At 48.2% G+C, this 22366-nt stretch overlaps 1 protein-coding gene and 1 long non-coding RNA gene across 12 annotated transcripts in view, besides 3 other annotated features; both read right to left on the bottom strand.

The window, feature by feature from the left end:
• Positions 1 to 16457, bottom strand: part of LOC124901148 (uncharacterized) — a 34203-nt gene extending 17746 nt beyond the window's left edge. The window contains exon 1 of the long non-coding RNA XR_007059080.1: positions 1713 to 16457. This is a non-coding gene — a long non-coding RNA (uncharacterized LOC124901148). The remainder of the gene's footprint in view (positions 1 to 1712) is intronic.
• The window catches only part of COL23A1 (collagen type XXIII alpha 1 chain), a 352776-nt gene that overhangs the window by 218766 nt on the left and 111644 nt on the right, over positions 1 to 22366 (bottom strand). The gene's annotated exons all lie outside the window — the stretch shown is intronic.
• Positions 7443 to 7942: an enhancer, noted in NCBI's record as "H3K4me1 hESC enhancer chr5:177890827-177891326 (GRCh37/hg19 assembly coordinates)". NCBI's record gives its function as "activates a minimal SCP1, AML or CMV promoter by ChIP-STARR-seq in primed H9 embryonic stem cells {active_cell/tissue: H9 hESC(primed)}" and the evidence as "EXISTENCE:reporter gene assay evidence [ECO:0000049][PMID:30033119]".
• Positions 8937 to 9817: an enhancer, noted in NCBI's record as "H3K4me1 hESC enhancer chr5:177892321-177893201 (GRCh37/hg19 assembly coordinates)". NCBI's record gives its function as "activates a minimal SCP1, AML or CMV promoter by ChIP-STARR-seq in naive H9 embryonic stem cells {active_cell/tissue: H9 hESC(naive)}" and the evidence as "EXISTENCE:reporter gene assay evidence [ECO:0000049][PMID:30033119]".
• Positions 12928 to 13079: a silencer, noted in NCBI's record as "fragment chr5:177896312-177896463 (GRCh37/hg19 assembly coordinates)". NCBI's record gives its function as "represses an EF-1alpha promoter that drives an FKBP-Casp9 reporter gene in an ReSE screen in HepG2 liver carcinoma cells {active_cell/tissue: HepG2}" and the evidence as "EXISTENCE:reporter gene assay evidence [ECO:0000049][PMID:32094911]".

A 22366-nucleotide genomic window follows, 5' to 3' on the forward strand; every position in this document is an offset into this window, starting at 1 on the left:
AATGAGAGAAACAGTCAAAAAACTCGAGAGTTTGGCCGGGCATGGTGGCTCACGCCTGTAATCCCAGCACTTTGAGAGGCTGAGCTGGGCGGATCACCTGAGGTCGGGAGTTCGAGACCAGCCTGACCAACATGCAGAAAGCCCGTCTCTACTAAAAATACAAAATTAGCTGGGCGTGGTGGCGAATGCCTGTAATCCCAGCTACTCAGGAGGCTGAGGCAGGAGAATTGCTTGAACCCGGGAGGTGGAGGTTGCGGTGAGCCGAGATCGCACCATTGCACTCCAGCCTGGGCAACAAGAGCGAAACTCCATCTCAAAATAAACAAACTCCAGAGTTTAAAGTTTTAAAATTGTACTAGAAAAAAAAATGATAAAAACTGAAAGGCAAGTGACAAAGTGAGAAAAATTTTTGCAACAAACGTAACGAAGGATTGTTTTTCTTAAGATAGTAAAAATGTCTTGCAAATCAGTAAGAAAAGCAAGAAAATTCCCTGATTTCCCCTCCACAGACAATTCAAAATGGAACTATAACCGTCCAACAAGCCTATGGCTGATAATGTAAACATGCAGAGATAAAACAACACACCCTGTTTTGGGTTTGTTTGGTAAAGAACCATTCATTACTATTACAGTTAATGAAAAATGTTAATCATGGTGCAGGGATACAGGCCCTTCCATGCACACCTTGTTCCAAAAAAGGTGTGGGCCACGTGTCTGAGGCACTTAAACACATCTACTCTCTTTCACTATCTCACTTCAGTCTAAGAGTCTGGACTAAAAGATTGAACAGAAATAAAAGTCAAAGGTGAAGATGTTTATCACATCATTCTTTTTTTCTTTTTTCTTTTGAGACAGAGTTTCACTCTGTCGCCCAGGCTGGAGTGCAGTGGCACAATCTCGGCTCACTGCAGCCCCTGCCTCCCAGGTTCAAGCAATTCTCCTGCCTCAGCCTCCCGAGTAGCTGGGACTACAAGTGCCCGCCACCACGCCCGGCTAATTTTTTGTATTTTTAGTAGAGACGGGGTTTTGCCATGTTGGCCAGGCTGGTTTCGAACCCCTGACCTCAAGTGATCCGCCCATCTCGGCCTCCCAAAGTGCTAGGATTACAGGCACGAACCACTACGCCCGGCCACAGAGTTCTTTATAATAGCAAAAATTTCAATGTAATCTTAATGTTCAAAAGTAGAAAAAAATTTTACTTCAAATATGGAATATTATGCCCCCATTAAAAAGGTTTTCCTTAATAACAAAAAGAAGTGCCCAAACAAAACCAAAAGCCACTTAAATTGCGTTTGGTAACACAATTTCACAGATTGTTGGAGGCAGTGCTGTGATTATCATCCTCAGACTGCTGCATGTGTATCATGGAATAAAGCAAGTGAGTTAGGTGCTGCTGCTGAGAGGCAGGATTTTCAGCCAGAGTAAAAGATCATGTTAAGTAAAACTAGGTAGCCTTGAATTTAAACTGAAAACAGCAGCATGCACTTAAGATGCATTTTATCTTAAAAACAAATAGGCAAACGTTTTCTAGTTCTGTGCTGAAAAGGCCTAATAACTAATGAGTTTCAATGGGTATCCACAGCACCCATATTCACTGTGGTCTCTATATATTTCCTCTTTAAAAGAACAGATAAGGTCAGTCTGGACCATCTTGTCATAGTGGAAGCAAAGAAACTACCAGGGACAATTAGGGTCATGTCAAAAGGACTCACATGCCACCCTGAAGCTCCCACCGTCCAAAGATGAGAACCCTTGGGTGTCAGTAGAAATAACTGCGATTGACCTCACTTCTGGAGGATGCTGGGAACAAACTCATTATTTGGAAAATTGGTAAATAAGGGAGAAAAAATAAAAACATCCATCCTGCTGTTCCTAAGTGAACTGTACCACAGGGTAGCTGAACAGTGGATGCAGGGGGCGGGGGTGCAGTTCTCTTTGTAGAAGTATTCCAGATAATAAAGAAAGAAGAGTAACAGAGCCGGGCACGGTGGCTCATGCCTGTAATCCCAGTACTTTGGGAGGCCGGGTGGATCACTTGAGGTCAGGAGTTCGAGACTGGCCTGGCCAACATAGTGAAACTCCGTCTTGACTAAAACTATAAAAATCAGCTGGGCATGGTGGTGCACGCCTATAATTCCAGCTACTCAGGAGGCTGAGTCATGAGAATCACTTGAACCCAGGAGGTGGAGGTTGCAGTGAGCTGAGATTGCATCACTGCACTCCAGCCTGGGCAACACAGCAAGACTCTGTCTCCAAAAAAAAAAACACAAGAAACAAAACAAACAAACAAACAAACAAAAAATAAACAAAACAACGAAGAAGAGTAAAAGGATCAAAATACCATTATTTTACAAATCCTTATAGAATGGATCTGGGCAAGCATGATCAACAGCAGTGAACGTCACAAAAAGGAACACCTTCATTCTGTGCCTCCTGTGGGGCGTGCACCCCACCACTTAATATTCTTACCCCCAAAACCAAACCTGAAGCTCATGCAGCCTGCAGATCTACCCACCAGTTTACAGGAAATACAGGGGCAGAGGAATCTATTAAATGACACCACAGGAAGACAATCATCAAAATCCAGGTGGTGGGAAACTCCAGGACAAGGGACTGAGTTTTCTCAACAAATAAATTGTAAGAAAAAATTAAAGGGAAGGAGGCAAAACCTGTGGGCTAAATCAGACTTCGCAGACTCAAGAACCAATCACAATATGGGAACCTTGACTGGATCCTGATTCAAACCACCAAAGAATCATGAAACAGTTGGGGAACTTGCACATCAACTGGATTGCTATTGGAAATTAAATATTTGTTAATTTTTAATTTGTTTACGTGTAATAAATGGTATTTTGGTGATTTTTTAAAATGCCTTTGACTTTTAAATATTTATACTAAATATTTGCCAAAACAATAAACATGTCTATAATTTGCTTCCAAATTACCCAGGTGGCTAATAGGTGGGAAACAAGATGTTTACATATGAAACAAGAAGAATTGTGATTTAGTAATTGCAGAAACCAGGTGACTGGTATGTGGGGCTCACATCATTCTACTTTCGTACAGTGTTTGAAATTTTTCCATAATAAAAAGGGGGCCCGGGGGCAGTGGCTCACACCTGTAATCTCAGCACTTTGGGAGGCCAAGGCAGGTGGATCACCTGAGGTCAGGAGTTTGAGACCAGCCTGGACAACGTGGTGAAACCTCATTTCTACTAAAAATACAAAACTTAGTCGGGCGTGGTGGCGTGCACCTATAATCCCAGCTACTTGGGAGGCTGAGGCAGGAGAATCGCTTGAACCCAGGAGTTGGAGGTTGCAGTGAGCTGAGATTGTGTCACTGCATTACAGCCTGGGTGACAAAGCAAGATGCTGTCTCAAAAAATTAATATAAAAAGGGTTAGAAGACATTTCAAATAAGATTTTTTTCCCTAAACAATTTAATGACATGGAGAAATGTTCATGATATGGCCAGGATGGAAAAAAGCTACAAAACTAATAGAGAGTGTTCTGTCTTGTTATACGCACACATACAATTTTGAAGCCAAAAGAAGAAAATTCAATACGATGTTAATAACAACTGTTATCTCTTTATGGTGGTATAATGGGTGTTTTTAAAATCTCCTTCTTTATATTTTCTGTTTTCTATTATGTGTATGCCTTAGTTTATAATTATAGAAATAGATTTTTAAAAGCATCGAACCTGGGATTTGTTAGGGAAAGCCCAGCTGTGATGTTCATAGTGTGTTTATTTCTGCTTTTCCTAATCACTTCCAACAGTCTCCTGAACAGCCAAGAACTCAGAGGATTTGCCATGCAGAACCCCCAGATTTTATCAACTAAACAATTCACAGCAGACCTACTACAGAAGCACCTTCCCCAGGCACAGACAGATGGCACCCACAGTTCTTTACCCCAAGGGGAAAATAACCACAAAGAAAAAAGCCCTTGGCAAAGATGAGCATGGCACTGCCCATCCCAGTAGGATGGACCAGCCGTCTAGCCACCGAGACAGGGCAGTGCCAGGTGGGCTGCTGGGATCTGTAAGGAAAGCTCTGTCAAGTGGAGAAAATAATCCTAATAACCTGTTCATCCAAACTGGGAAACATCATCTGGGCTCTCAGAAGAGCTTCTGTGAGAGGGCGAAATAGTAAAAGATGTCCAAATCCTGGTGTGGCTCTCTCCTCTTCTAGACGGGAAAACAGCTTTCAGGTTCCCACTGTTGAGCAGCCTCGGCTTCCCAGATGCTTTCCATGCAGTCTGACAAGTATCCCACCCTAGCTGGCTGCCTTTTGCTTCCAGTGAAAATCCACGGAATCCCTTTGCCCTGCTTTTCTTATCTTATGCCTGTTCCCCTGGCATGCATGGACATTTTTTGGCCTCCACATTTTATAAAAGGTCTTACCAGCCGTATGTTGCTAGGATATATGGACAAAAATAAAAAAACAAGCCCCAGACCATGCTGCCCTGTGGTCTTCAGTCAGTGCGGGAGGGAAGAGAGACACCCAAGATTGCCCCTTCCCCTATTCTATAACATTCAAGTTGTGGGGGTCTCAGCTCATGCCCCCATTTTTTTTAAACGTAAAGAAATAAATAGCATAAACTCCCATGGGAAAGTCGGATGGCAGCCCTTTAAGAGAGCTGCCCTCTAAGGCAGGTTGGGGAACAGAAACAAGCCACTTTACATTTTTGGCAGCAGGACCAGGGGACTTCCACGAAATTGTGCAGAGATGGGAACTGGCTGCAGCCCAGGAGCCGAATTCCTCGTGCTGCTTCGCCCCTCAAGAACAAGTCACTTCTCCCAACCTTGTGGCCACAAGGACTCTCCACAGGAGCATCAGTGTGTGCCCAGGCTGGCCACCGCCACGAGTCCAGCCTGGCCATGTCCTGGTGACCTCTCCTAGCTGTAATGGCTGTTTCCACCACAAGGGGCAGCCGCGGCAAAGACAGGCCCATCACCCACAGGCCTGGAAGAGGAGCTGAGTAGAGTCAGGCCAAGGGACCTGCCATCCCCAGTGCCTCTAGCTTTCTCAAACTGGGCTCTAGCAGTCGCTGGGCCTGGTTAGCCACAGGGAGAGTCCACCCAAGGAGGGCCTATTCGGCATCATGGTGAGCAGGCAATGCCCTCTGAAAGTACAAACCATTTTTTAATAGCTTAGATAACTGTGGGAATGCTTTGAGGGTATTTTAAATGATTTGTCTACTTGGAGAGACCGGAGTAGCCAGCATGCAACAGTCCTTACAAACAGAAGCTCCTGCTGGCTCACGGCCTTGGGCAATTTGCCTCAGTCTCCTCACCTGTAATACAAGGTAGAGAACCATATTCACCTAACAGGGAGTTTGTGAGAGGATAAAATGAAGTCTTGGCAAGCACACAACATGTTCTCCGTACATATTGAGGACACTGGTAGGGTTTTTTATCCTATTCGAAATAACAGGGGTTCAAGACAGCAATGGCATGTTGGAGGAAAATATAGGGGTGCAAATTGGAGAACACAGACAATGAATTCTACACAAGTTCAAGAACAGAAGGAAATGTCAGGGAAGAGGCGGATGAGTTGTGGTACTTCAAGGAGCTGCCGCGAAAGTTCCTGCCCAGGCAATCAGACGGTGCACTGCAAATTGGTTTTGAGTTGGTGAGTTTGCACAGCACTGTGTTCTTGGCACCCAGCACAGCTGCTGGCTCATAGTAGGAGCTTATTAAGCATTTTGGAAGGATGGGAGGAGGGGCTTGTGATATAAGTAGCCATCTACTCAACATTTCCTCTGTGCCATGCATGGTAAACATTTCCACATAATTTAACTCTGGTTTTATTACTGTCATTTCACAGATGACATGGAGTCTCCAAGAGGTTCCCCCCCACCCAGCAATCAGGCCCAATCCCCAACACAGCTTTTAAACAAAAGCAGCTGAGGCATTTACTCTGGTCAGTAATGAAAATTCAACATTCTTCTGTCACTGATGTAACTTATAGGGTGCTTTTCATATTGATTCCTTTTATCTTTGCATTTGAGGCTAAGATAAACCTGTATGCATTTAACTTACTTCAGTCATTTAAAGGAATAAAGAACAAAAGAGAAGAATCTGTATTAAATCAGGCACAACAAGAGGAAGCATTTTTAACAAAACATTATGTTAAGAGCTTCGAGTTTCTATAAATCACCCCCATTGAGTAATCCCCAAATTACTATTGTTGTGCTATTCAGTATCCTCCATCCATAACAGCTGATGAAAATGCACGACCAGGCCAAATACAAAGGTAGAACAATTTTTTAACTTAATTTTGACTCTGCATTACTGAAACAACAAAAACAAAAAAATCAAAACCTTCCGGGATTTAACAAATTTAACTACAAATTACGAGTCAGATCCTCTCAACAATTAGATGCCTGTAGCAAAAGAACGTTTCCCACATCAAATTTCCCAGATTTTTCATTAACAAATGTCCCCATGGTTCCGTCTTCAGAGCTGGAGCCAAAATGGAAACTGGTGTGAAACTTGGTGAAAATTTACGGACAGCAGATGACTGCGGAACGAGGAGGAGAGAAACAGGAAGGCGGCGTTTGCTCTTTATTTGGAATAATTAGCAAAGCAGAACCAGCTGAAGGCTGGCACCATGTACCTTACCCAAAGGTTGCAAGGGCTGGAATGTGCAAAGGCCACGTCAGCAGATGGTTAGGTGCAATTTCACGCCTCACCGCGCAGCGACACAAAGGGAACTATTTTTTTAAGTGCATCTGAACTTCAGCAGCACGGATGGGCTTTTTTGCTCCAAAGATTCCAGTTATCTTGAGAGCTGCATACCCTTAAGCTACAAGCACCGTTTTTACTTCAGGCTAGGTAAGATGCAAGTAAATTAAGGATTTCTTTCTATTCTTTCCAGAAAATAAATAAGCATTTTTGAATTTTAAGTGTTTCAGAAAACTGCTTTTCATCAGATGTGTGGAAATAAGTTTCTTTTCTGAGAAAGGTCAAGATGTATGTGGATTTGGTATTCTCTTCCTGGGCTGAGGCCGTGAGGTGGAGTGAAACTGTTACCGGGTCTGGAAAGGTGTGGGAGTAGGATGGGAGGAAAGGGCAGGAAAAGATGCAGGAAAAACCACAATAATCACGATAATAGGAGCACTCCCTGCATGCCACACCTTGTCCCCCGCACTTTGGAAACCGCCACTGGGACCCCAACCTATGAGGCAGGTATTGTTAGTGTCTCTGCTTTGCCGATGAGGATGCCAGGGGAGAAGAAGTTGATGAACTCACTCCGTCACACAGCTGAGAGGCGAGCGGGACACAGGCTTCCCCAAGGATGCTTTCCAAATGTGCACGGTGGCCCCCAGCCCTGCCGCGGTGTAAACACAGGGGGTCTGGATGGGAACGGACGTTTTGTTTATAAACAAGGAAGAGCTCAAACATCTGGTCCTCCCTTTGTGGCTGCGGACACTGTGCAGGTATGAGCCCTTTGGCCTGCCTGGTCCATGCAGCGTAAATACCAGGAGGCCTGCTGCTCTTCAGAAACCAGCCTGGGCGTGCAGAGACCTCAGGCTGCAGAACGAACCTCTTGTTGTGGGCCTCCCGGCCGGGCGTGAGCACAACCACAGGCTCATGGGGAGAAATCTGCCGCCTCCCCAACACCAGTTGGCAGGAGCTGTTCACCTACCCCCTTTTACTGCCGTAACATACACATAACACAAAATGTACCATCTTAACTACGTTTAAGCGTACAGCTCAGCGGCATTAAGTGCATCCGCGATACCTTGTGGCCATCACCACGTCGACTGCCAGAGCTCTTTCATCTTCCCAAACTGAAATGCTATACCCATTAAACACTAACTCCCGATTCGGCACTCCCACAGCCCACACCCACCACTCTACTTTCTCTATGAATTTCACTACTCTAGGGACCTCCTATGCGTAAAATCGTGCAGTATGTATCCTTTTGTGTCTGGCTTATTTCACTTAGCATGATATCCTCCAGGTTCATCCCTGTTGGAGCATGCATCAGAATTTTCTTCCTTTTAGGGGCTCAATACTATTCCATCATATGCATATACCACATTTTCTTTATCCATTCAGCCGCTGATGGTCACTTGAGTGGTTTCAATGTGCACGTACCCCACTTAGACACAATAAATAGCTTCTTCCTGGTGTAACACACATGATTACAAGCACGTTGCTATTCGTAAGGTCCAGCCCCAGGTTACCTGTGAAGGCTGCGGCCGTCACTCAGCCCTGACGTGGAAGTGCAGGAAAGCCGGCTCCGTGCTGCTAGAGCTTCCCCACTTCACCATTAAACAATAGAAAAAGCTGGATTTTTAAAGGGCACCTAAATTTTTAAATGGTTAATGATTCAAATGCTTTAAGACACTGCAAGCCAAACAAAACTGCCCCAGATGTTGGGTGTAGCTCTCAGATCCCGTGAGGCCTCAGCCTTATAACAATTCCATGTGGCAGAGTTCTGTAGATGAGGAAGCAGCGCTTAGAGAGGTTAACTCAGTTGCCCAAGGTCACACAGTGGCTCTGTGCTTGAACGGAAGTCTTCAGCTCTAAGCTCAGTCTCCTTCCAGAATGCCACTGCTGCCTATGGAACAACGCCTTGTAAATGACAACACGGTTTTGATGCATGATCATTAACATGGATGAAGAGGTAGCTTTGAGTAGGGCCCTAAAAATAGTTCACTTGATTTAAAAATCATATCCAAAGCCCAGCCAGGTGGGGCCAGGGGTCTTATTAAGTGCTCCTGACCTCCCAGTGGCAAAAGAAAATAGCATTTCCACCTTCACAGCCTTGCACAGCGTGTACACGGAACCCATCAGAAAACAGGGGTCGGCCTTCCAGTTGTTAATCAGAACGCTGACAGGTGAAAGCTTCAGAGGCTGGGGGTTCGGAGATCCTGCAGCGAGCTCTGGGACTTAGAACACCAGGCTGTCGTTAACCCCTAGGGTGCAAAAGCCTGACATTCTTTAGCGTGACCGGACTCCCTAAAACTGGAGATGCTGGGCTCCTCTGGAGCAAGGAGGGTTAAATGGTGCATCTGTTTTCTCTCTCAGAAGGTCAGGAACCCAGGCATGGGTTTAAAAGCATTCTTCACACAGAGGCAGATAACCCCTCTGACATGGGCCTCCGAGCAAGCCTGCTGTGCAGCCTCGAGGAGGCCCTCCTGGTGGACAGGCCCACAGCACCCAGGGCAAGACTGGGCCACTTTCAGAGCCTGAAATAGGAAGAGGCCCACTCTGGCCTCAGCGTGCTTTCTGCCCCTCTCTAGAATATTCTAGCAGGCTCTGAGCCCTTTGGTGTCGGGAACGCAGCAGTGAACAGAAGAGCAAAGTCCCCGCGGGGTGGCGGTCACGTCCTCACGAGATGGGGAGGCAGAGTGATCGTGCTACACACGGTAAAGAAGTAGACTGTCCTGGGGATTCAACAGCAGTGAGTCCTCTGAGGGACTGGCGTGCAGGGGCAGGGAGATGTGGGGTGGTCAGTACCAACCAGCGGTGGTGTGGACTCGCCGCTTGCCTGGCTTCCTGCCTGCTCCGGATGGCGAGTCTAACTCAGCGCACACTTCAGGACACAAAACACAGTAGAGCCTCGGGGTGAGTGCACCTCAAGGCCATCGTGTCCACATCACCCTGGTCCCTCAGTCTCCCCTCTGCGCCACCTCTTTCCTGAATCCCATCCTGGTGAACGACCCCCATGAATCTCATCTTGGGAGACACACATCGGCCTCCAAGCCGTGGGCCTCAGAGGCATTGCAACGCAAACTCACTCCCATCTTCGCCGGTGTTGGAGGCCTTCTAAATGCCTCTCCAGCCTCCTCCCTCCTCTCGGCCTCCACTTCCACATCTTTAAAATGGGGGCATTGACAGGACCTGTGGGGGTGGTGAGGATTTGATGCATCTGCAGAGCACAGAGCAGCGCTTGCTAGCCACTGGTAGTAGCAATGGTAGTTGTCACCATTGCTGTTGACATAGTAGCTTGTTTTGAAAAAGTCAAGTTCTTTTTTCTTAAAGCCGTCACAAAAGCAAGCCTGGACCTTTCGTCCTGTGTTGATTCTAAGGCTTCCTAAGCTGGAAGGTCCCAGCTCTCAAACTCAGCTACGGGAAACTGAGACAGGTCTGCGCATCCCTGGCCTTACTACTTTCCAGGGGCCAGAGGAACAGGATGTGAGGCAGCACCCTCACCTTGAGCCCTGATGTCAGAGGCCCCAGGTTCTGGGTCTCACCAGTCCAGGGACCCACGTATTGCTGTTTCCTGTGTCCCTGCTGCTGCGGGGGATGGCCCTGCAGCCTGCAGCCCCTTGGCCATGCTGGAAAACACCTGAGCCATGGTTACCATTCATCTGGAGCCAAATGGGTGTCTGTATGGGATCCATTACATTTCCAGCCCAGCTGGGAAGGACTGTTGGAGCAGCTCTGGCCGTGCCAGGCTGGCCAGGTGGAAGGACAGCCACGTCTGGGGGTCAGCTGGGCACACGGAAGTCCGAGGAAGGCAGCAGAATGGATACTGGAGTTAGGAGATGTCGATTTGTGTCCCTAGCCTAGCTGTGTGACTGCAGGGGAAGCCACAGCCTCAGTTTCCCCAGCTGTAAAATGGGGATAATAGTCCCTGTGTTGTTGATTTATTTTGGAGAATAAGTGACATTATATGTATATATATACGTAAAATGCCGTGGCAGCACATACAACTGCTGTTACGACGAGGTTAAGTTGGAGAAACTCGTGAGAAGGTGAGTTGAGACATGTGGACTGAACCCTGAGCTGGGGTCCTTCTTTTATGTCCCCTCACTTGCACAGGGAGCTAGCTCAGTATTCTTTTTCTGACCTGACATCTTTAGGGACAGGAACAGGAACTTCTGCTGCCTGAACCACTGAGGCCTTTGGGAAGGTCTGGGACGCTGACCTCTCCTTGTAGAAATGTGTGGGTCTTGCCCTTCCCTGCCCCTGGTGGAGACCCTTCCACCCCCTTGGCCAGCAGCCTCTAAGTGACAAACGCTCCCTGACTCTGCTCTGGGCCACGCTAAGCTGGGGGCTGGTGATGCAGGGTGACCCTACCCCACTCCCTGCCTTAGGAAGTGTGTTCTTTAGCCGGACTACACGGAGGCAGTTTGTGTAGAGTGCAATCTGTGCTCTAATAGCTATGTGTGTTGTCTTGTTTAGGGGGCGGTAGTCGGAGGGAACCACAGAGAGGAGGTCCCCATTGTGCGAGGGTTTGAAGGATGTGTGGAAATTCTCTAGGTCTCTCAAGCTTGCAGCTGTGTGTTGCCAAATCCCCACCCCACGGCACACCCGCTTCGTGATTTCTGCCAGAGCCACAGACCTCTTCTCCTAGTACTGATTTAATTCTTTTTAATTGACTCATTTTTAAAAGTTATTTTTAAAGTAAACATTATACACTATGGTAAACAAAAAACCAGTTCCACTTGCCAAAAATAGAAAGAAACTCTAAAAATAAATACAAAGAAGGGAAGTTATGAAATTATAAGCGGATACTGCAGCAGGCTGGAGTCCGAGGCCTGCCTTCCATGCTAGTGACAAAGGGAAACTGCAGGCGCTGCAGAGGCGTTAGCGACACACGGGCCCCAACAGGAGCCTTTCTCCTGACACCACTGAGAAGGAACTGGAAGGCGGCGATGCTCTCTGGAGCGGACAGGCGTATTTAATATCCCACCCACGCATCACCTAACAGCCTCTGGGGCGGTGTGTTCCTTATGTTGGGAGTGGTTTCCATAGCTGGAAAAGATGGTGAGAAATCTGAGTGCCAGAAAGAGAGCGCCGGCTTTGGGGTGTGCTTGTGTGTTCACGGAGGATGAACACACCCACCCAGACCCCACCCAGACCCCACCCAGACTCCAGCCAGAAGCCACGGCAAGCCGCCAGTGTCGAGCAGAGGGCCCCTGCAGGAAGATCGGGAAGGTCTAAATCCAAGCTCATTAATAGGCCAGAGGGTGAGAGAGAACACGGAGGTGCAAGACAGGGAGGGGATGGAAGCCAGCACGTGGGTCAAAGGGCGATGGACTGGGCTAGGGGTCAGTGTGATGATGGTGAATGCAAGAATATCAACAACCACGGCTCCGTCTCCTGTGGGCTAGACACTGCCTGCAGGGCACGAGATGATTATTTCGTTTCATCCTCACCCTGCCTCCCTCATCTGCTCACACCCAGGCCTCACCCGGCCCCGTCCCTCTGAGCTGACCTCAGGCTGCAGGCCACACGCAGAGCAGCTTCCCCTCCCCTCGAGTCCCCCCAGGCAGCCTGGAGGGAAGGGCCGGGTCCGAGGTCACGGAGCCTGCAGCTCTCCTCAACTGTGTTCTGGGGCACAGGACCCCACATTTAATTTATAAATTCCCAACTTTTCAAATTAAAAAAAGTATTGTGGTAAAATATGCATAACATACAATTTCCCATCTTCACCATTTTTACGGGTACAGCTCAGTGCATCAGGTGCATTCACACTGCTGTGCAGCCATCAGCACCCTCCACCTCCAGGACGTTTTCATCTTCCCCTGCTGAAACTCTGCACCCATTAAACACCAACTCCCCACTCCCCCCAGCCTGTGGCACCCACCATCCTGGTTTCCGTCTCTATGAATTTGATGACTGGGTGCCTCACATAAGTGGAATCATATCGTGTTTGTCCTTCTGTGTGTGGCTTATTTCACTCAGCACCATGTCCTCAAGGTCCGTCCATGTTGCAGCACGTGTCAGAATCTCCTTCCGTCTGAAAGCTGAACCGCATCCTGTTGTGTGGACAGGCCACATTGTGTCTATCCATTCTGATAAACACGTGGGTTGCTCCTACCTTTTGGCTACTGTGAACAATGCTGCCCTGAACCTAGGTGTACAAATACCTGTCTGGGTCTCCGTGTTCTTCCTTTGGGGGTATACCTAGGAGGGGACGAATTCCTAACTTTGAACATGATTAGGCAGGAGCTTGTTACCCCTGGGACACTGCGCAGTGAGCAGGCTCCTGCGGCTCCTCTCCCGTCCATCCCTCCCTGGTCCCAGCCTGGCCTGGGAGATGCACATCCTTCCTCTGAGATACTGTTGTTCTAAGCCCCACCACATTCTACGAAGCTCCATCACACACACATGCTGAAGGCTGAAACTCCAATTCTGCAGGTGCATCAGTTCCAAGAGTAGATGTTCGATGGTGAGGGGCCGATGGGCAGTCTGTAGCTGGGGCCCCGGGGAAAGACCACAGCTGAGCACTCTCGGGGGAGCTGGGCTCCCCCGGGCAGCTGGCAGCTGGGACCTGCCTTCATGTCCAACCACATTTCTGATGGAGCCCAGGGGACTTCCGCCAGTACCTCCCCTCTTCAGAGAGCCCCCGTCCTGTCTGCAGAGCCATCAAGAGGACCCTCGCCGAGGGAAGCTGCCTGCCGCTGGTGATAACCAGAATCGGTCGTGGGGAGGAGGTGGCCATTCCCCCTGAAAGTCCTAATGGTCTCGCAGGGTCGGGCCACGGAACCGTCTCCAACCACTCATCCCCTGTGCAGAGGCCAGAAGGGAGCTTTCGTCATGCTAACTGGGTTTGATTTTTATCTTCCCAGGCACCTCCTCTCACTGGTCTTTCTCATGGCAATCATCACAGTTCATTTAAAAGTATTTCCACCCCATTTGTCTACCGGTGCAAGCAGTCACTCTAGCCAGCTAAATCAGTCCCTTTAAAACTTTATCTTGCTAATTCCAAAGTACTCCATCATCTCCATATCCAGACACTGAGAGGCTCAGCCTGCAGACATCTGCCTAACAGAGCAGCTGGCGGGCTAAACACATAAATTAATGCAAAGTCCTGGTTGGTCAACACCTGGTGCAGCTCTTCCTCCAGGCACTTCTCAGGGACGAAGCTTGCTTTGAGCTGGCCATCCAGCGTCTGTCCCTCCTGGTCCGCTACCGTGAGCTCTTGACTCCACCTGGCTCCACGCCCCCTGCCCCATGTCTTCCCTTAGCCAGGAGCCAGTGTCCTTGGGCAAGCACAGTGCCCATAAGCCGAGCAGACCCCTGGAAACCCACCGCCAATTAGAACTGTTCCTCACTGGAAAGACTGCCTAGACAAACCACCTAAAACCCAGGACGTGAGGACTCCCAGCTCCCCACCCAGACCCCAGCCAGAAGCCACGGCAAGCCGTCAGTGTCGAGCAGAGGGCCCCTGCAGGAAGACTGGGAAGGTCTAAATCTAAGCTCATTAACAGGCCAGAGGGTGAGAGAGAACACAGAGGTGCAAGACAGGGAGGGGATGGAAGCCAGCACGTGGGTCAAAGACGAGGCCATGGGGGAAACACCCGCTCATACGACACAAGCATCCTGCCTGCTGGGCTGGAAATCCCGAAATTTCCCCAGTATTCCTGGAAGCATCAAGGCTCCCACAGAATACAGTGGCACTTCCCATAAGACACTGGACCCAGATACCTCCTGTCTCAAGGAGCCCACCGCCTCCAGGGCCCCACTGAGCGGCCGTTCATGCTGAGAGCTGCGCTGGAGAAGCCTGTGTGAAGGCTGCTGCGGTCACCTGGGAACCCTCAGGAGCCCCAGAGTGTGCACTTTTGTCCATTCCTAAATATTCCTTCCATAGACTTACTGTGAAGATCCAACCAGACCCTCTGAGCTTTGCTAACTTTCAGCTCTGTGCAGTGCACGAAGTGGTTCTGAAAAAGCATCTGCTCCAGTGCCTGGCTGCCTTGGGATCACCTGGGGATTCCTCGTGTATTGGTCAGGTCCCTGCAGGAAACAGAGGGCACCCCAATGGCTAATTTGCAGAGCAGTTAAGAGAGAGTTACTCAGGAAGCTGTGCACAAGGGACAGTGCAGTTCCCAGAGGTTGGAACAGTGGGTGCATTTATCACCCCTGAGTAATCATGCGTTTTATGTTTTCTTTCTTTTTTTTTGAGACAGAGTCTCGCTCTTGTCACCCAGGCTGGAGTGCAGTGGTGCGATCTCAGCTCACTGAAAGCTCAGCCTCCTGGGTTCAAGTGATTCTCCTGCCTCAGCCTCCTGAGTAGCTGGGATTACAGGCACCCACCACACCTGGCTAATTTTTGTATTTTTAGTAGAGATGGGGTTTCGCCATGTTGGCCAGGTTGGTCTTGAACTCCTGACCTCAGGTGATCTACCCGCCTCGGCCTCCCAAAGTGCTCGGATTACGGGTGTGAGCCACTGTGCCTTGGCCTGCTTTTTATATTTTCTGATGCTGTGAAACATCTCTGGGCCTTGCTGGCCAGGGAGAGACTCCCTTCCTGGGGCTAGCTAACTCCTAGAGATAGCAAGCACCTTGCCTTTGGACCTGCCTCTCCCTATCAAACCAACCAAGCCAAAGCTGTGCCCCAACCACCCGCTTTATGTAACTCTCACACCCCTGCCCTCATCACCCATGGGCCAGGTATGTGACAGCTAGAGACCAGCCCTGTAGCCCAGAGCCCACTGGAATTATTTGAACTGGCCAATCCGAACCCTGCTCAGCTTGCCTCGCCCCTCCCTTCCCACAGTCCATGCCCCAGCTCCTTCCACCCCCTGACTGACTCCGGTGCTTCCCCATATGGTCCTGTTGTGCTGTCGAATCGTCAGTAAGAAACTCTTCTTTCAAGCAGTTGTCTCCATGGTTGTCATCTTAATCCATGGCTGATTAAAATCCTGGGTGCAGGCCGGGCCTGGTGGCTCACACCTCTAATCCCGGTGCTGTGGGAGCTCAAGGAGGGAGGATGGCTTGACCTGGGGAGGTCGAGGCTGCAGTGAGCTATGATCATGCCAGGGCAACAGCGTGAGACCCTGTCTTAAATAAAAATCCTGGGTATTGTTTAAAACAACCCCAAGGACTGCAGGCGCTGAAGAGAGGAAGCTGCATGGAAAAGCTGTGGGAAAGGGGCTTGAAGGAACATCCCTTTGCTGATCCATCCTGACTCTCAGTCGAATCAACTGAGACCCAATGGGGAGCCACAGTCTATCCCAATGTGCACTTTTGTCCCAATGGGGAGTCAGCCTCCTGGGGCCCAGAGCAGGTGGATAAGGGTGTGGGGCGCACCTGGAGGAGCAAGTGAGGTGCCAGCATGCTTTGGTTCTACTCCAAGAAAGTCTGATTCCGGAGTTCTTGGATGGGGCCCAGTAATTTTTCTTAAATGCTTCCCAGCTATTTCTGATGCACAGTCAGATATGGCTTATACATTATGAAAGGTAAGGCACTGTCAATATTAATAATATTAGCAACGGCTGCAGCAGCATCCATGGGTGCCAGGTGCTTATAATGCATCAGTCCTAATTTCCACCCCTTAAAGGTAAGTGTTAGTATTCCCATTTTGTAGATGGGAAATGTGAGGCTCTGGCTGCTTAAGTGACTTGCCCAGCATCGCACAGCTTGTCAGTGGAAGAGCTGGGATTTTTATCCAAAAGCCAGTGAACAGTCAGCCCTCCATATCCATGGATTCCACATCCACGGTCTCAACCAACCGCAGATTGAAAATATTTTTAAAAAATACACAGGCAGGACACAGTGGCTCATGTCTGTAATCCCAACACTTTGGGAGGCTGAGGCAGAAGGGTTGCTTGAGCCTGGGAGTTCAAGACCAGCCTGGACAACAGAGTGAGACTCTATCTCTACAAAAATTAAAAAATTAGCGGATGTGGTCACACGCACCTGTGATCCGAACTACTCAGGAAGCTGAGGCGAGAGGATCGCTTGAGCCCAGGAGGTCAAGGCTGCAGTGAGCTGTGACTGTGCCACTGCACTCCAGCCTGGGTGACAGAGCAAGACTCTCTTCGCCATCCCCCCAAAAAAAATCATAATAAAAATCACAACACAACAAAAAATCATACAAATAAAAATACAGTAGAACAATATTTACATAGCTTTCACACTGTATCAGGTATTATAAGTAATCTAGAGACTTAAAGTATGAGGGAGGATGTACTTAGGTTAAATGCAAGTACACGCCATTTGACTTTATTTTTGTAGAGACGGTCTCACTCTGTCACCCAGGCTGGAGTGCAGTGGCACAATCACAGCTCACTGCAGCTTTGACCTCCCAGGCCCAAATGACCCTCCTACCTCAGCCTCCAGAGTAGCTGGGACTACAGGCATGAGCCACTACATCCGGCTAATTTTTTTTTTTTTTTTTTTTTTTGGTATTTTTTGTGAAGATGGGGTTTTGCCATGTTGCCCAGGCTGGTCTTGAACTCCTGGGCTCAAGCAAACCACCCACTTCAGCCTCCCTGAGTGCTGGGATTATACTATGCCATTTTATATGAGGGATTTGAGCATCTCTGGATTTGGGTACCTATGAGGGATCCTGGAACCAATGCCCTGAAGATACCAAGGGACGACTGACTATACTGTTTCTACTCTTCCAACATTCACCTATGATCAGCCTTACCCTAGCGAAACCCCTGCACTCCCAAAACCTCACTGAGTGGGCCTCTCATGAACGCTGACACTGTCATCCAGCACCCCTATGGGGTTTTATTTATGGTTGCTTTAAAAAGAAGCACTTTGAAAGCTTCGAAAGAAAGATGCTGAACAACCAGACCAGATTATGAATTTTGTGTTCAAATGAGTTAATTTCCCTTAATAGGGGTCAAATCATTTTTATTTCCCTGCAACCTAAAGAAACTGTGCTGAGCTTTAATGTAGACACACTTTACCCACCTCACCCCCGGCCACAGGAAAGCTGACGTCATCAAGAGAACTGAGGGTGTTCGCAGCAAGGAACACGGAGTTACTCTGAAACATTCTCCAGAGCAAGAGTTCTTAACCTGGGCTACAGGAAATCTTCACAACCCTTAAATTACACGTGTGACTTCCCATCAATGCGCAGCTCTGTCCAAGTCCTTGGCTTTCATCAGACTCTCAAAGGAGCCTCAGAAAGCCAGAATTTTGTCTCAGTTTCTCTCATCATTGATTTTAAGGGTTATCCCGCCTAGTTCTTCTTTCCTTGTTTTCAGTGAAACTGTGACCTGCTCCAAAAACACGCAGTCAGTGAAATTTAGTTCCCAAATATTTTATGATAATATAGCAGTGGGCTACATATAAAATAAATGGTAAAAGGTCCTATTCCTTGGTCTTACTCATAACTAAATAATTAACTTACTGGATTTCATTTTTGAGGTTTTTATTGAAAATATTTCTTCCTAAAACACAGTATCTTCTCTCTCCTTGTGAGATGTCAAAAAAAAAAATTTGTATTGAAACAAATCAGTGAATTTGTCGTATTTCTTTCTTAACCTTTCTAACTGTAGAGGAACATGGCATACAGAGGACTTATCTTTGAACACGTTTTTACTAAATAAATATTCATCGATTCACTCAGTACATTTTTATTGAGTCCTTTTTTCCAGGCACCAGTTTAGGTACAGGGGATTCCAAAGCAAACAAAAGAAAATCAATTGCTCCCAAGAAGCTTGCATTCCAGCAGGGAACACAGATTATAAACCATAAACTAGACAGAACAGGAGGCGGGGAGCGGATAGTAATAAGCACTGTATTAGTTTTCTGGCTTAAAGCGACAGAAATTTACTGTCTCATTGTTCTGGAGGACAGAAGTCCAAAATCAAAGTGTGGGCAGGGCCCCACTCCCTCTGAAGGCTTAGGGGAGAGTCCCTCCTTGCCCCTCCTACATTCCTGTGGCTGCCAGCAATCCCTGCCATTCCTTGGCTTTGTAGATCCATCACTGCAATTTCTGCCTTCACAGTCACATGGCAGCATTCTTCCTGTGTATCTGTCTCTGCGTCTAAATTTCCCTTGTGTTAAATGGACAGCAATCATTGGATTAGGGCCCACCCTAATCCAGTACAACCTCATCTTACCTTGATTACCTCTGCAAAGACATTCTTTCCAAATAAGGTCATATTCACATGCAATGGAGGTTAGGACTTTAACATATCTTTTGGGATATGTTAAATTTAACACATAACATGTGTTTTGAAAACAAAATTAAGTGGCCATATGGGAGACAGAGAGTGATGGGTGCTGGCATGTCCAGGAGGGCCTCTTGGAAAAGATGCCATTGAAGCAGAAACCAAAATGAAGTGAAGGAATGAGCCATGGGGACATTTGGTGAAGGGGGTACAGGCAGAGACCCCGAGGCAGAGGTGCTGAGCCCCTGTGCCTATACTCCTGACTCTCAGAAACTACAAGATAATAAATGCTTGCTTTGTAAGCCATTATGTTTTACAGTAATTTGTTTGCGGCAATATAAAATGTATGCGATTACCCAATAGTGGCCTTGCCTGTTGTGTTAGTTTTCGGTTGCTGCATAACAAATTGCCATAAACTCAGCAGCTTAAAGCTTAACTCACAGTTTCTATAGGTCACAAGTCTATGCTCAGGGTCACACGAGGCTGAGATCTTGGTGCTGGCAGGGCTGTGCTCCTTGTTGGAGCTCAGAGGCCTCTTTCAAGCTTTTGTGGCTGTTGGTAGAATTCAGTTCCTTGCAGTTGTTGGACATATGCCCCCTTTTCTTGCTTGTTGGCTGGGGGCCACTCATACCTCCTGGAGGCTGCCCACAGCTCCTGGCTGGGAGGACCCCTGCGAAGGCCTCTAATTCTTCGAATTCCTTGGACATCGTCTATCTCTGATCTTTAGACCCAGAATCAAAGGACTCATGTGATTAGGTCAGGCCCACTCAGAATAATCCCCCTTTCGGCAAACTTGAAGTCAACTGATTAGTAAACTTAATTACAATTGGTGTGGACACAACAGTGACTCCATCTTGGACGCTAATCTGCCATGTTGAATTCTGATTAGCCCTAGTCCTGTGAATGTCCCCTGATTTCTACTTTGTTTACTGTCCCTAGTGTAAGAACATGTCAACCTTGATGCTACTCCACAAATAATAGGCGTCATAATAGGAAATGGCGCATACAGCATGCCTGCCGTTCTGTAGGGCTGCCTCCCACTGTCTCCCTGGAGCACATACCCCTTTCCCAGCGGTATAAGAGCCCTTGGTCTGTTGAGTAACAGAGTGGAGATCTACCTGTCCTGCAGCCACCCAAGACCACGCTTCTGTCTGTAAGTTCCCCAATAAATCAACCTTTACTGACAATCTGGATTTGTGTGCCTCTTCTTTGGTTTTTTGGCTCCTTTGGTATTTGGGGGCCGCTTTGCCCTTTCACTGAACAAATGGCAAATTCCCTTATCTATATAATGTAACATAATCATGAGAGTAATACCGCATCATATCCACGGACCTGCCTACACTTAAGGGAAGAGAATACAAAGCGTGTGCGCTGGGGGCAGGAATCTCGGGGCTGTCTTAGATTCTGCCTGCCGTGCTCCTCTTCCACTGTGGCGCTGTAACCAGCAGCATTCTGTGAACTCCACAAGGGCCCTGGATGTGCGTGGTGTGTGCCTGTCAACAACATGGGCGGGGCCACTTTGGCCAGATCAGAGACAGTGCCAGGGCCCACTGGCTCTGTGCCAGCCACCATGCTAGGGACCTCCTAGGTGCAATGTCATCTCATCCTCCCTTTGGTGCAGACACTGTTAACTTCTCTGTTATGCAGGTGAGAACACTAAGACTCACATGACTTAAACTACTTCTCTGAGATTCCAAATATAAAGTGGTAGAGCCAGGGTTTGAACCCAAAGTGTCAGAAAGTCAGGTTTCCAATCCTAGCTTTGTTATTTTCTACCTGTGTTACCCAACTCCTCTGGCCTCACTTTGCCCATCCCTATAGTAGGGTTAACAGAATATGTGGCTTCGGATATTCTCAGGGGCTGTGGAAGGGGCTCTGTAAGCAATGACGGCTGGATCTGCCTCATGGAAACAGTAAAGCGCCATAAGAGGCTGAGAGATAGCGGCTGTTGACATGACTTTGAAGCACTTTTATTTCTATTTACTGGAAGAGGTTGTTTTCAGGGCAACCCAAGGATTCAGAAAACAACGAAACCATGAAGTCATCTTGGGGCTCACAGAGCTCTGAGCAGGAGAAACAGGGACTGGGGTTTGGGGAAGGCATCAACTCATGCTATGGCAGAGGCAGAGAGGCTTGTCAGGCATGGATCTTCCCTGCCCCACTGGAGTCACAGAATCTTCTAGTTTTACCCATATTTATGCAGGGTGCTGAGTCACCAATGTAACCCAGCAATCCATCTTGACTGAAAACAAATGGCTTGTTTAAATGAAAAGCAGACAGCAGAAGCAGAACGTCCTCAAAAGAGTGTCTTTCATGTCTCCTTATTAGGCGCCAGTGGGTCTTTTAGACAGTTTGTACCCAAAGGGAGAAGTGGTTAATCACTGTGCATGTTGCCTAATCAGGAAGCAAAAACCTTGAAGGACACCCGAAGTTCGTGTTAGAAATGCAAAACAGCCTGAACCCTCTGCGAGTGAAAACATGTATGTGTGCAACTGTCAACGTACCCCTCCTTCCTTCCCGCTCTTCCCTGGAGAAGGTAGAATAGGGAGAGGAAAGCCTTGTTGAAATACAGCCCGAGTCATTTGCTTCACAGGCTGGGATTCTTTCGGATGCTGGTGCTAATGGGTGAAGTCTGCCACTCTGATGCTTGCGAGAGCCGTAGGAGGTAGGAGTGATTGACCCCATTTCACAGATGAGAAAATTGAGACTTAGACAAAACTAGACATGAGAAGGCAGGTGCCAGTTATCAGAGAGGCAGCCTCCTCCTAGGCCCTTCATGCCACCTGAGGGAGGTCCCAGGGTGTGGGAGGAGGGAGCATGGGATTCTAGCCTCGGAGAGAACAGGCAGGGAAGAGGCTGGGCCTGGGTGGGGCGGTCCTGCAGGGCCTCAATCAGTTGAGCCAGACAGTGCCTGCGGGCCCCCGACAGGCCTCCCTGAACCTCACTGGAGCATTAAAGATGAAAGCCCCTTCCGAGCTCTGTACAGGAGATTGATGTGTGAGATGGGAAGATGCCATCTTCACCAGGGCTTGGCCAGGAGAATCAGTGGGTTGCCAAGATGCCTGGAGGGTCAGGAGAATGCAGTGAGGGGTTGAGACACCTGGGAAGCAACCTAGGGTTATCCGGGACTAACTGGAACAACTGTTCCCCTGGGCTATGAGGAGTCCACTGCAGAGGAACTGGCCTCCAGACTCAAAACGATAGTGCCATTTCTTATACAACCTACATGTCACTTCTTCATTGCCCAGATTCTGCATATTTTCCTAGCTCTGTTCCCTTTTACTTGGAAGTTGTGCTTTCCATCCAGTATCCCCCACACCAGCACTGAGGCCCACAGTCCGGGAAACATCTGGGTGGGCTCCCCTGAAATGGGTCCCAGCTGGGCGGCAAACGTTTCCTGTGCCTGCCAACCCCTCCCTTCCTGTGTCCACAGAGAGAGTGTCTGGAGAAATCAAGTTAATGTTTTCAATTAATATTTGGGAAAAATACCCGAGGCCAGTTGTTTTATCTTTGATGCCAGATATTCTTGGGTTTAA

Source organism: Homo sapiens, chromosome 5 (assembly GCF_000001405.40).
Source record: "Homo sapiens chromosome 5, GRCh38.p14 Primary Assembly".
NCBI lineage: Eukaryota > Metazoa > Chordata > Mammalia > Primates > Hominidae > Homo > Homo sapiens.